The following is a 15,060-nucleotide window of genomic DNA, read 5'->3' as shown; positions in this document are numbered from 1 at the left end:
TTAGTTTCAGCAGGAATAATAGTGTTTTATCATCTTATTCTCATCCATGGAACTACCAGTGCTATTTCTGTCATTCTTCTCTGTTCAGTACATACTATCCTTTAGTTAAAGTAGCTATTAACTTTGATATTATATTCCAATGAACTTTTAATCACCTAATATCTTAGTTTAAATAATGTTTTTTAAAAAACCAAGAAAGTAAAAACTTACAATGGGTGTAACTGAAAAGGGCCTGAAAGAACTTCTAGTCCAATGACTTCACTTTATTCACTATATCCAATCATAGTGGAATCCTATAAATTCATTTTACCATTCACACACACACAACTATATACTTTTCCATAACATTATAAAAGACTAATTAGCTATTGAAGGGAATTAAAATATTTTACCCCAAAATATATTTATTTGACCTATTTTGAAATAGCTACCTCTTAGCTATTTCCTGGCAGAAGTGGTCCTGCAAAAGCTGTGTTAAGCGGGGAAAATTTGCAGCTGTAGAGAATCTCCGTGAATGCAGCCATTCCCCTGCCCCTTTCTATGCCTTTCCAAAGATCCAGGAGAGATTAAAAGTCAGACACTTTTACAAGTCTACAAAGAAACATTTATCATTTATTTTTTTCTGAGGTAGATTTCATCTACGTAACAAGGCCACCTTTGCTTGCTAAGCTTCTTCTCTCTCCCCTAAAAAGTTTTACTAGGGTTTAAGCCCACATTTTTTTTTTCTGTAACTTCAAAATTTTTTTTGTAACTCATTGGGAAGTGGGGTTTTCATTCTGAAGATTCTCATTTATATATGTTAAAAATATATTGCATGGCTTTACTCCTATTAATCAATCTGCCTCATGTCAGTGATTTTTAGGGAAACTTTATGGGGCCAAGAGCCTATGTCCCACACGCTATCAAAATGGAAAAATAATGCAATAGTAGCAGTGTATTTCCAAAAAATATATACCAATAAATTGTTCTGAGATATAGCCTGGGATTGGGGGTTGGGACAGGGAAGAGAATAAACAAAACTGCCTGGGTATTTTTGGAGAGAAGGAAAATTATGTTATTTTTTCATGCTTCACTGCAGAATTGATTTTTTGCAGATTATGGAACTAATACTGGAAATTCTCTTAACTTAATGACCCTGTAAATTTGGACGTACTTTGGGGGAATGGATATGTTCTTATATAAATTCATTTTCACATATTTGTATAAAGTAAATATTCTAATATTTGAGACCTCAAATAATTTTTATGCCCCTAAATTATGAGTCATGGCCCTCTCTCATGTGAAATAGCAATGATGCCAATCACTCTATAAGGTAGCCATAAAGAAACAAATGAAATAAAAAGCTATTCAAATAAAAGGCTTTATGATGATGATAATTTTTATATTTTAAAGATAATCCAACATATAAAAACTTAAGATTCTATGAAAAATCATTAAATTGCGTACCTTCCTATTTTGCTCTGCCTTTCTTAGAACATAGACACTTGATTTTTCCAGAAATACTGAGGCAGAACAGCAAAAACACATCTTTCTGTTTTTAATTATAAAGAGGTTTCTTCACTACAAACATAACCAAATGCAGGTTCAGCTGTTCAACGCTTGCAAAATCAAATAATAGGGATGGGGTGTAATAGAAGAAAAGTGACTTTATTTTCCAAAGCTTGCAGTGGGGAAGTCGTTCGGACACTAATAAAACTGCTTCAGAATTCTCAGGCAAAATCCCAGGATTTAAGAAGGGGAAGTATGGTGTGGAGGGCAAGCAGTGGAGCAAAGCAGTGGAGCTCTGTGACTTGTTCAGATGACTTATCTTGAGTTATTGCCCCATCTGGTGAATGGGCTGGCACCATCTCAGGCTTTGCTGTGTGGTAAATTAGCTGCAGCCTTGAAGTAATCTCCTGGTGGGGGAGAATTCCATAGGCATCTGGATTGTCTAAAGATTCAGTCTCTGAAACTTCTCTAAGCAAACATAATTAGATAAGCTAGCAATTCAAGGGAGTGTGCCTAGTGGAAAGTAGGAGAGTAAGGGTTAGGAATTTTAACTATGGGGAAGACAGTGGCTTAAAGTTTACATAATAGACCTTGCCTTGGTTTAGATCTAAGTCTGTGCCTTTAACATGTGAATTTTTTACTTTGTTTCACCTAACTCATGTCTTTGGAGATGCAGATTTAGAGTTGCCTAGTCAACAATTGTTTAGAACATAGAACAGATAATCAAGAGATTAACAGTCTAACAGAGCAGGTAAAAGTTATGAAAACAGGCAAATGAAAAATCTCAAATCTGTAAGATCTGCCACTGTCTATGGGCCTGTCATTTCTATATGTTTATATGTGTCATGTGGAAATGATATTTCACTACCACATTTTATGAAAGAGCTTCAATTAATTGGTTTAAAGAAAAGTAAACAGACTAATAGAAGCTAGCTCAGATGGCCTTTTGTTCACATGACTTCGGTTATCTTTGGTAAGAGTAATTTAGTCTCAAAATTATCTCTATTAATTTAAAACCTTTAAGTTATATTACGTTAAATTAAGTAAATCTAGTTTTTTTTTTTTTCCCCCACTGGGAATTAGAGTTACCAAGAGTTAAAATAGTAGGCTAGTAAGATTTGTTCTTGGTGAAGTTTATAAAAAAATATGAGAATGTTGTTTTTGCTAAAGAAAATGTAATTTTTTTCTAGTTTAGAGGCTATTTAAAGTTTGCTTTAAAATAAAGAAAAAATGATACAGGTAAAACTAAATGAATAAAAAGATGAAAAATAAAAGGGTGGGAATAAAGAACCTTTGATTTCTGGATGGCCACACTGTCACCTATAGTACTGGAGCAGCATCTGGGCTTCATTCAATTATTAAAGATAGAAGATCCAGGGGAATTTAGAGATTGGTTATACTTCTGAGGAGTTGGTTCACAGGATGCATAAGAAAATGCAAACTAATATGTAAAAAGCAAAATATTCAATCCCTTGGTTATACTTATCTATAATAGCTAAAATAAATGTGAAACAATATTGTGTTGGGCCTTAAGGCAGGACCAAAGTTAGATGTGGTGCTGTCTGAGCTCAGATCACTCACTTCAAAGCTAGGCACAGAAGGAAAAATTAAGCCAGGTCAACAGAAAGTACCTCTGACACTTGTGATTACCAAGAAGGTGGTCAATGTGGGGAAAATGTTACCAACAGTGGATCCATATAGGTCTGCAGCAACCTCAATTCTTGCCTACTCAGAGGAAAGAATTTGACCAAGGAGGGGTAAGCCATAAAGAGAGACTGAGGCAAGATTTAGAGCAGGAGCAAAGTTTATTAAAAAGCTTTAGAGCATGAATGAAAGGAAGTAAAGTACACTTGGAAGAGGGCCAATGGATGACTCGAGAGATCAAGTGCATAGTTTGACCTTTGACTCAGGGTTTCATATGTTGGCATACTTCTGGGGTCCCTTCTTCCCTGATTCTTCCCTCGAGGTGGGCTGTGCATATGCACCCTGTCCTGCCAGCACTTGGAAGAGGTCACATGCACAGTGTGTTTACTAGAGCTGTACGCATATACATTTGAGGCATTCTTTCCTTACCAGACAAAGTCCCTGGTAGGTCATATAGCAATTAAACTCCATCATTCATTTTGCTTTTTTTTTTTTTTTTTTTTGACAGAGTTTTGTTCTTTTTGCCCAGCTGGAGTACAATGGCACAATCTCAGCTCACTGCAACCTCCGCCTCCCAGATTCAAGTAATTCTCCTGCCTCAGCCTCCCAAGAAGTTGGGATTACAGGAGACTGCCACCACACCAGCCTTATTTTTGTATTTTTAGTACAGAGGGGGTTTCACCATGTTGGCCAGGCTGGTCTCAAACTGATGACCTCAGGTGATCCACCTACCTCGGCCTCCCAAAGTGCTGGGATGACAGGCATGGGCCACCATGCCCGGCCATTTTGCTTCTAAATGCACGTGCTTTAGCTCACTCGCCCAGCTCCTGATATCTTATTGGGAAGCTGCTGATCACCAATTTCAGGTGTTTCTATCTATTGAGGGGCTGCCTTTCCCTGGCACTAGCTGTGACCAATTATTATTTTAGAAAGACACTTATCAACCCCCGATCATCACCTGATGGTTGCCTGATATTCCTGGTGGAGTGTGGGGGATCCCTCTCTTGCCCTGCTCATGTCTGACTAACTATCTGCTATAACAGAAGGGCAAAACCAAGGAACTGTTAAAACCAGAGGGTGTAATATAAAGAAATTGTTCAATTTTGTAAGTTGGTATCATCAGCTTCTTGAGAAACCTTTACTAAAATGGATGGTAAGAATAAATAATGTAAGGTAAGTATCTTTAATTTTAAATGCTACAGAATGAAAGAACACGTTTGGCTTGATACAGGAACCACAGCTCACTATTAAACAATTGCTGATGAGTATATGCAATCCAGAAACACAGAAGGTTATTCTTGATAGAACAGCCAGCTCTGGTTGACCAGAGAAAAGCCACTGGAAGGTCTGTTTGCCCTAAGAAGGTGACTGCCCAACTCTCTCTATAAAAACCAAGTGGAGGACCCCAGATGAAGCAGCTGATATGCTTCATATGCAAGCCATGTGGGACTGGCTTTACGATGACTGAGATATTTACCCACTGAATATGCCCATTACCCAGGTTACGGTAAGTGCTCTGGTTAAGGGAACTCCTTCTACATGAGCACCCCAGGTGGCATTACTCCTGAAGAATTAAACAGAAGTTTGAGAAGCTTTATCAAATTTGCTATTGCAGCTCTCCCTCATTCGTCTTATAGATACTAATAAAACATTAGAGTGAAAAACAAAACAAAACAAAAAAAATTGGGTGCCGTGGCTCATGCCTGTAATCCCAGCACTTTGGGAGGCCAAGGCAGGCGGATAACCTGAGTTCAGGAGTTCAAGACCAGCCTGGCCAACATGGAGAAACCCCGTCTCTACCAAAAATACAAAATTAGCTGGGCGTGGTGGTGCATGCCTGTAATCCCAGCTACTTGGGAGCCTGAGGCAGGAGAACCGCTTGAACCTGGGAGGTGGAGGTTGCGGTGAGCAGAGATCGTGCCATTGCACTCCAGCCTGGGCAACAAGAGAGAAACTCTGTCTCAAATAAATAAATAAATAAATAAATAAATAAATAAATAAAAGGCGGGGGCAAAGATCAAATGGAGTCAAAGGACTCACCCCAGAAGAGTGGAAATCTTTAGATAGTTATTGAGAAATGAAATATATAAAATTAAGAGTATAGTGTTAAAACAAGGTCTTAGTACAACACTATTGAAGGTTAGATGGACCACAGGGAACCCCAGCTGGTCCCTCAACAATAAAGGGCCCCACACCAGTTTTGTGCATTTACTCTGGAATGAAGAAATTTAAGAAAAATTAAAAGGAATAGGTTACAGTGAGAAAGCTGACATTGCATGGGGCAATGTTGAGGCAAGTGAAGATAAAGAATGACAAAAGGGCTTGAGTCCCTAGGCTCAACTCCCTGCCGGGAACCCAAATACTTTTTCACAAGTGTAGGTAAAATGGTCTTGGGGTAGAGAAGAAAAGCTACTGAGACCAGATCATAAAAATGTAAGGGTTGATAGAATTATGAAAGTTATGAAGTTTAAACAGGCTTTATATGAAGTAGTTGTGACTTCTTTACTTAAATGTTTTATAAAAATGGATACTGTATCTGACTAGGGGGGTATTTCCCCTACCTATACTATAAAACAGAAGGCATGTAAGTCTGCCATTTGACTAATATTAATTGGACATGCAAATGGGAACCAGTAAGATTGCCCAGGCCCACAGAATACAAGATAGAAGCTGGATTGCTGGTAGGGACAAACTCATTTGGCAGTCCTTTGTGAAGTGTTTACTGGGGCTTGTGGCAGAAGCCAGTGAGCACCTCTCAATGGCAACTACTTGGTTCGTAGATGGCAGTTCTAAGGTGAATAAACGACATTCTGTTTGGAAGGCTGCTACTCTGGTTGTAAAGTATACTTTTGTGTGCAGGATTTACTCTTCTACCAGGGTTCTCCAGAATTTGGAAACTATTTGTGAGTATTCTTCTTTTATGGCAGCATGGTTATTTGTATAATTTCAGTAACTGTTTTCTTTTGAAACATGACACAATTGGAGACACTAGTTATTTTACCAAGGCCTTGACTAGAACAACATATTCTTTTTTTTTTTTTTTTTTTTTTTTTTTTTGAGACGGAGTATCGCTCTGTCGCCCAGGCTGGAGTGCAGTGCAGTGGTGCGATCTCGGGTCACTGCAAGCTCCGCCTCCCGGGTTCACGCCATTCTCCTGCCTCAGCCTCCCGAGTAGCTGGGACTGCGCCTGCCACCATGCCCGGCTAATTTTTTGTATTTTTTAGTACAGATAGGGTTTCACTGTGTTAGCCAGGATGGTCTTGATCTTCTGACCTCGTGATCCTCCTGCCTTGGCTTCCCAAAGTGTTGGGATTACAGGCGTGAACCACCGCGCCCGGCCAACTAGAACAACATATTCTTAAACAAAGTTCCAGCAAAATCAACTGGAAAAGAGACTATATGGCCAAACAATTCTTGCTGCATTTTAGGCAAATAATCAGTCCAAGTATCGTAAGCCTAAAACTTATTTTGCACACAAATTGGTCTTACTATCATTTATCTTTAGTAGAAAAGAAGAGCTAGAGAGAGAGATATTATGTTTCAAAGGAAAACTATAACACACCTATTGCTAGATTCTAGCCCTGACCCTTGTTTTTGTGTGTAGATTGAATCATGAATTATTTTTTGGCTACAATTGTCCTCTAAAGACAAACCAGGTCAAAATTTTCTTCATGACATTTTTGGTTGGCACCCTAATGAAATAGGTTTCTTTTTCTGTTCTAACACACAATTTCTCTTTTGATTGTCAAATTATTAATATTGTTTATCTCTCATTGTTTTGCTTCTTCCAAGAAAACCAGAATCATGGCATTCTGAAGATTAGACATGATTTCACAAAGCCTGGCAATCCCCCTCATTTGGAATCCCACTGGACCCAATCTGTTTTTCACTTCCAATGCCCTGCTGCAATCTATGCAAACATCCTCCCTCTAGGCCCAGGGTGTATATGAAAGAAGTGGGCATGCGAGATTGTAAAAACTGGTTTTGAGGGATATAATTAGTTCAGACCCTCACAATCAAGGATGGGCACACAGATGCCTAAACAGCTGGTGAAATGAGGGACTTTGCCTTGGGTCGTTATCTGGCACATTTTCATCCATCCCAACCACAAGGAATTTCCTACTTCTCATAAAATTAAAAAAAAAAAAATTACTGAGAGAATATCAAGATACTTAGTGGAAAAATCTTCCAGGTATAATGCTCCCAGTTATGAGATTTATGCAGATACATGTTAATAAAATGTATCAGCCTCCTCAGGAAAAACTACTAAGAAGACCACAAAAAGCATTATGGTACAACAAAAGTTGTTGAATTCCTTAGCTCTTTTAAACAAAATATTTATGTTTTGTATAGTTAATTGCTACAAGACTATAACTAAAACCAGGATTACAATAACTCAGTGCATATAAGTTATAGATAAGTCAAGTTGGTAATCTTGGCTTTGGCTTTTGATTTCTGGCTTTTATATGGCTTAAATAATTGTAAGGTTAATGAATACCTGTCCACCTTCATTCCCATTTTGCCTAGAACATTTAAGTTGCCTTTAAGTCTTTCATCTCTAAGTCCCTTTGACAGAGGGGTCCCACCGACAGACAGGAAGGACCCAAGGCAGGCAGCCACACTACCCTGGCAGCAGTATTGGACAAATAATGTTTGGCCATAGATGTTTCCTCTGGAAAATCTTGACCAGAAAGAGGAGAAATGTAAATCAAAAACAGAATTCTAAGCCCCCTAACCAACTAAATAGACAACTCCTATTGGCCAAGAAGATTTCAAAGAAACCTTAAAAAAAAAAAAAAAATTTGTTTAGGCCATAATGGAAAGGGCTGGTAGAACATGCCTTAGTATACCCTCCTCCTTTTGAAATTCAGGCACAATTGACCAGCATTAACTTTAAAACAATGTTGTTATGCCTGACAAAATTGACTCTTTGTAGCAATAAAATACCACCTTTTAATTTCAATCTAGTATAACATTGCCTGACAGGTAGCAGGCCCAGAAAGAGATCAAAATATTTTATTCCAAAATGTATTTCAAAGAAATGGTCCTGCAAAGCTATCTCTTGGGGGGAAGTTTACGTTCTGTAGAGAATCCCCTTTCCTTTTCAGGTTTTTTTCTGATATTGAAGAGATTGTCTGAAAGTATAGCACCTTTTAAATGTCTGAATAGAAAATATTTGCCATTTATTGCCTCTAAGGGTGGCTATCCATGAGACTGCATCTACATAATAAGAACCTTGGTCTCTACAACCTCTTATCTTACCCCAGACACTCCTTTCTATTGATCCTAGGTCTTTAGATAATAACTCTTTCAACAAACTGCCAATCAGAAAATCTTTGAATCCGTCTCTGTCCTGTAAACCTCAACTTTGAGTGTCCCACATTTCTGGACCAAACCAATATATACCTCACATGTATTAATTGATGTCTTATATCTCCCCAAAATGTATAAAACCAAGCTGTAACCCCACCACCTTGGATACATGTTATCAGGATCTCTTGAGAATGTGCCTCAGGCTATGATCACTCATATTTGGCTCAGCAAAAATCTCTTTAAGTATTTTAGAGAATTTGACACTTCATCGATGCAGCAATATCAGCCTTTTTGAAGGGAAAGTTATACTTCTATAATAACAGCATATAGTATAGACAAAACAAAAGTATCAACCACAAAATTCACATGATTTGAGCAACAGTAGATGGGTAAAATTATTTAGTAAATTGTGATTTAAAATGATAGTTTATTTTCTTTTCTTATTAATAGGTGATATGGTTTAGATCTGTGTTCCCACCTACATCTCATGTTGAAATGTAATCCTAGGCTGGGCACAGTGGCTCATGCCTGTAATCCCAGCACTTTGGGAGGCCGAGGTGGGCAAATCACTTGAGGTCAGGACATCGAGACCGTCCTGGCTAACACGGTGAAACTCCGTCTCTACTAAAAATACAAAAAATTAGTCCAGCGTGGTGGTGGGAACCTGTAGTCCCAGCTACAGGCTGAGGCAGGGGAATGGTGTGAACCTGGGAGGCGGAGTTTGCAGTGAGCCGAGATCACACCATTGCACTCCAGCCTGGGTGACAGAGCGAGACTCCATCTCAAAAAATAAAAAAAGAAATGCAGTTTTAATTTCTAGTGATTTCAACTCAGAAAAATTGGAGAAAAATATTGAAAATGTTAGTTTGGGACTTGTAGTCAGAAAGAAAATTCAGGATTCAGTCCAAATTGTAAAGTATAATACAAACTGAAAAAATAATGAAGATGTCTAGAATCCAGTAACAGATGTACATGTTTCAACAGATGTTGAAACATAATTTTTCTATCCAATTCCCCAATTTTACTGAAGATAAAATCATAGTAGGTCTAATTTATTTGCAGACATTTGCAGACAGATAAATTCTTGGATGGACTTGAGAGGCTTTTAAAAGGTCTAATCTGAAATTCATTATTAAAATAAAATGTTCCGGCAAAGCCAATTAAAAAAAAAAAAAGAAAAGGAGGCCAGCCAGGCGTGGTAGCTCACACCTATAATCCCAACACTTTGTGAGGCTAAAGTAGGCAGACTGCTTGAGCCTAGGAGTTCGAGACCAGCTTGGCAACTTGGTGAAACCTTGTCTCTACAAATAATAGAAAAGTTAGCCAGGTATGGTGGTGTGTACCTGTAATCCCAGCTACTCAGGAGGTTGAAGTAGGAGGATCACCTGAGCCTGAGGAAGTTTAACTCAGTGACCCGTGATTGCATCACTGCACTCCAGCCTGGGCAATAGAGTAAGACCCTGTCAAAAAAAAAAAAAAAAAAAAAAAGGAAAAACTAAACAAAAAATAAAAATAAAAGAAAAAGGAGGCTATATGGTAAATAATTATTCTTGTTGCACTTTATACAAATAATCAGGTGAAGTACAATAAGACAGTTCATACTTAAGGTAAATTATAACCCAAATAGGTAAGGTCAAGGAGGAGAGAAGTTTGAACAATGCAAAATTGAAGCGAGAGTGCAAAATTTAAAGTAAAAAAACTTCTGTAAATTGCAACAGAAATGCAATTTTTGAAGGAATTGTTTTGTTTTAACGTATTTCTGGACTCTAGTTGTAACTGGGGACCTTGGTTTTAAAAAAATATGTGTGTGTGTATGCGTGTGTATATATTTATTATATTTATTTATTTACTTATTTATTTTAAGAAATGGCCTGTTGCTCAAGTTGGAGTGGACAATCAAGGCTCACTGGAGTCTTGACCTTCTGGGCTCAAGCAGTCCTTCTTCCTCAGCCTCCTGAGTAGCTGGGACTACAGGTGTGTGCCACCATGCCTGGCTATTTTTTTGTTCGTTTGTTTGAGACAAGGCCTCATTCTGTCACCCTCGCTATTTGTTTTTATTTTTTATAGGGAAGGGGTCTCATTTTGTTGCCCAGGATGGTCTTGAACATTCAGCCTCAAGCAATCCTCCCACCTCAGCCTCCCAAATTGCTAGTATTATAGACGTGAGCCACCATGCCCTGACTAAAAATACATTTTAATCATCCCCTTTCTTTTTCTTCTTTCCCTCCTATTTCTCCCCCTCTTCATTCCTCTTCTCTCTAGACACTCTTCTCCAGCAATGCATGCTGAAGAAATTCTAGAGGCTAATCTTGAAACAAACCAGGCCTGGAGCCCCTGTCAAATCCTCTGCTTGGAGGGAGTCACAGATAATTAGTCTATTACCATCGAGATGAAGTCAAAATAATGCCACTAAACCTGCAGATGGACACTTATTAAAGATAGCCATCAGGAATACCACACACAGACCGTTTACTCCGCACCACTCTTGCATGTCATCCATAGAAAATTTCCCTTTAAAAACCCAATGGTGAGCCGGGTGCAGTGGCTCACGCCTGTAATCAGCACTTTGGGAGGCCGAGGTGGATGGATCACCAGGTCAGAAGATCGAGATCATCCTGGCTAACACAGTGAAATCCCATCTCTACTAAAAATACTAAAAATTAGCCGGTGTGGTGTCATGCGCCTGTAGTCCCAGCTACTCAGGAGGCCGAGGCAGGAGAATCACCTGAACCCAGGAGGCAGAGGTTGCAGTGAGCCGAGATCGCACCACTGCACTCCAGCCTGGGTGACAGAGTGAGACTCCGTCCCAAAAAACAAACAACAAACAAAAATGGTAAATTTCAACATTTAAGATGATACTTTAGAATGCTAGCTCACCATCTTCTTAGTTTGCTGGCTCTCTGATCAAACCTGCTTTTCCACCAAACTTCACCCCTTATGTGTGGCTTTCAAGCAGCAAGCAGCTGAACCCGGGTCTGGTTACAAAGTCTCTGAAGCAGAAGATTTACCTAAAAAAAGTTAAAAATGTAATCTAAATTATATCATTGATATAATAAAATAAATTGTTCTTATTTTATAAATGCACTCAACAGGAAAATGCACAGACAATGAGATTGTCAAAGCTGATTTGAATGAGAATGAATTATATATTTATATAGATTGTGTTAAAAAATAACACTTTTTTTTTTACTCTTTGTAAATAAAATTTTATACGCATGGAAAATTTTATACAATTTTTTTATGTGAAATAGTTTAAAAAAAAAATCATAAAGGAAAATATACAAACAAATGGCACACACAATCTTCTAAACTGGAGAAAACTGCTAAGTTCCTTTCTAGGCCCCCTCCTCAGTCTTGCTCATAGCATTCCTGTGCTCCCTTGTGACCCTTCTGCCCTTTCCATTCAGTTACATTTGTCTCTCTGACCACCTAACCATCAGTAACACTCTGAGTATTACAGCTTAACACTGTACTACCCTCTAATATCTCTTACAACCTATAATTTTAAATTAATTTTTAAAGCCGTAAAGATGAAAAAAATAAAAGCCAGAATTACTAAATATCAAAATTTACATTTGTTAAGCAATGTCATTAAATATGAGAAAATAAATAAAGCATATGACTTTCAAAATTTGACTCCCTTTTTATTAAAGCACACACTTTATGAAGAAAATTTAATTTGAAGTAATTTATTTTTATTTTATAGGTAAAGCATATGATATAAAATGACATTTTTGTGATTTATATTTTCTGCCAATTTTATGCTCAATTCCTAGTATTTGTGACCAGTATGAACAAAATATACACTCTATTTGCCAACCTCCCAATACAGCAGAAATATCAGTTTATACCTGAGCATATCACTCAAGATATTTCTCTACACACTGTTCACGAATGCCCAATTTTAATGTTTTCTCTCAAATTGATTTTGTTCCACTGCCAACTCAATTTATCTCTGAATATATTTTCTCATGAAATTGGTCAAGATCTTCACGTGTATCCTGTTAATTTTAGTGTTCTTTATGTTCAATGCTAATATTTAGACACAGATTCCTCCATTTGTTTTGGCTTGCTTCTCATCTATACAATTGACTTGATGTTTCTTGATTCTGCAGTTAAGAACTATGCCCTCCCCCATCCAAACACATAGACATCTTACCCCATATCTATAGTTCCCAATTACTGTCCACAAAGTCAATGCATTGTGAGGTCCTAATTTCCACTTTCAGGCCCATTATGAGGAAGTAAAATATTTTACTTCAAACCAATAGTTTCAGGTACTACCTCTTGCTTCTTTGGCTGTAAATATTTTACATTTCCTTTTACTAGTAGTATTCCTGTAGAGGAAATGCAGAACTAACTCTACAGTAAATTTATTCTCCAGTAGACTATAACATCCCTTCAAAACCAATCTTTCTAAAATTTAAAGTTGATCTTATCTTCGTCGGAAACTTTAAAATGACTCCCTCTTCCATTTAACATATAGTTGAAGCTTCTTATAATAAAATAATGCCCTTTAGGAACTAGCTTCTGTTTATTTCTCTAAGCCCCGTTCAAACCCAATATACTGTAGCCATATTGTATTTCCTGTTCCAAATCAGAAAATTTTAGAGATGATCTATTAAAGAATACTTTAAAATATAGATAAACCACCTGAACCAGCACAGCAGCGGACACCTGTAGTGCCATCTACTTGGGAAGCTGAGGCAGGAAGATAGCTGGAACCCAGGAGTTCAAAGCTGTAATGCTGAGTCAAGCTTATGAACAGTGACTGCACTACAGTCTGGGCAATATAGGGAGACCCTGTTTCTTAAACACAAACAAATAAACAAACAAGCAAACACCTAATGCAGATATCCAAGTTTTTAAATTTATGTGAGAGATCCAGTCTTTATAATTATTTATTTATTTATTTGTTTATTTATTTATGAGACAGGTTCTCACTGTCACTCAGGCTGCCGTTCAGTGGCAGGATCTCAGCTCACTGTAGCCTCGACTTCCCCAGCTCAAGTCATCCTCCCGTCTCAGCCTCTCAAATAGCTGGAACCACAGGTGTGTGCCACCATGCCAAACTAATTTTTTTTTAATTTTTTTTTTTTTTGAGAGGGAGTCTTGCTCTGTTGCCCAGGCTGGAGTGCAGTGGCACAATCTGGGCTCACTGCAAGCTCTGCCTCTGGGGTTCACGCTGTCTTCCTGCCTCAGCCTCCTTAGTAGCTGGTATTACAGGCACCCACCACCACACCTGGATAATTTTTGTATTTTCAGTAGAGATGGGGTTTCACCATGTTAGCCAGGATGGTCTCAATCTCCTGACCTCGTGATCCGCCCGCCTCGGCTTCCCAAAGTGCTGGGATTACATGTGTGAGCCACCGCGCCTGGCCTGTTTTTTAAATTTTTTGTAGATGCTGGATTTCTTTATGTTTCCCAGGTTGGTCTCAAGCTCCTGGGCTCAAGCAATCCTCCCTCCTTAGCCTCCCAAAGAACTGGGATTACAGGCATGAGTCACTGTGCACTTATAACCTATATTGTTTAGCAGCAAATGACTTTTTATTGTCTATCATCATAATAAGGATCTTAAACACACTAAGTTGTGATTTGTGTAATTGGGCCAAAGGCAAACTCACACAACGCAAAATGCTAATCCAAGTGTTTACATGTCCCAAACACTTCAGCAGCCCCATCACCACAGGTTTTGCATGAAACTCTAATCCAGAGCCAAAAGATCACTTTCGCAGAGATGGACAATAGTCACAAAGTGACATGTTTCATCTACTAAATGGTGTCCTCATTTTTGTTCTAACTAACCACTGCTGTTATAGTCATCAAATGCATGTTCTATATCCTCTAGTTTTCCAAGCATCCATGTTTTCACTGTAATCTTCAACGTATTCGTCAGTTCTAGATATTGCATACCCAAACTCTCGAACTTGATAATAAACTGTCTTCTTCTTAACAACTGCATATTAATGCCCAGTTTTCATCCACTTAGAAAACCACCAGTGGATGGCTATTAAATAATGCATTTTTCTAGAATACTTCACTTTGTATAAGCTAAGACTTCCACTTCCTCTACCACCCTTAAAGCTGAGTATCCAATAAATTCAGCAGATCACTATTTCCTGGAGGAGTTGTAGTATTTCCAAATGATCCACAGGAATTTTTGTTGAGAAATTTGTTATATAATATATTAATCATCATAATTCAAAACTTACTTTGTTTTCAATTAATTAATTAATTTATTTATTTATTTATTGAGATGGAGCTTCACTGTTGTTGCCCAGGCTGGAGTGCAATGGCATAGTCTCGGCTCACTGCAACCTCCGCCTCCCAGGTTCCAGCAATTCTCTTGCCTCAGCCTCCCAAATAGCTGGGATTACAGGAGCCTGCTACCACATTTGTATTTTTAGTAATTTTTGTATTTGTAGTAGAGATGAGGTTTCACCATGATGGGCAGCCTGGTCTCGAACTCCTGACCTCAGGTGATCCACCCACCTTGGCCTCCGAAAGTGCTGGGATTATAGGCATGAGCCACCGCACCCAGCCGAAACTTGCTTTAAATTGATAATTGATGTGCAAAACAAGAGTTAGGTACTTGGGAATCTTAATTCTCATTTT

The 15,060-nt window shown here is 38.2% G+C and overlaps 1 long non-coding RNA gene across 1 annotated transcript in view; it reads right to left on the bottom strand.

The window, feature by feature from the left end:
* LOC105379062 (uncharacterized) overlaps positions 1-11,453 on the bottom strand; it is a 50,894-nt gene extending 39,441 nt beyond the window's left edge. The window contains exon 1 of the long non-coding RNA XR_948532.2: positions 11,323-11,453. This is a non-coding gene — a long non-coding RNA (uncharacterized LOC105379062). The remainder of the gene's footprint in view (positions 1-11,322) is intronic.
* Between the last annotated feature and the right edge of the window lie 3,607 nt (positions 11,454-15,060).

Source organism: Homo sapiens, chromosome 5 (genome assembly GCF_000001405.40).
Source record: "Homo sapiens chromosome 5, GRCh38.p14 Primary Assembly".
Lineage (NCBI taxonomy): Eukaryota > Metazoa > Chordata > Mammalia > Primates > Hominidae > Homo > Homo sapiens.
This window is presented reverse-complemented; position numbering and strand designations above follow the sequence as displayed.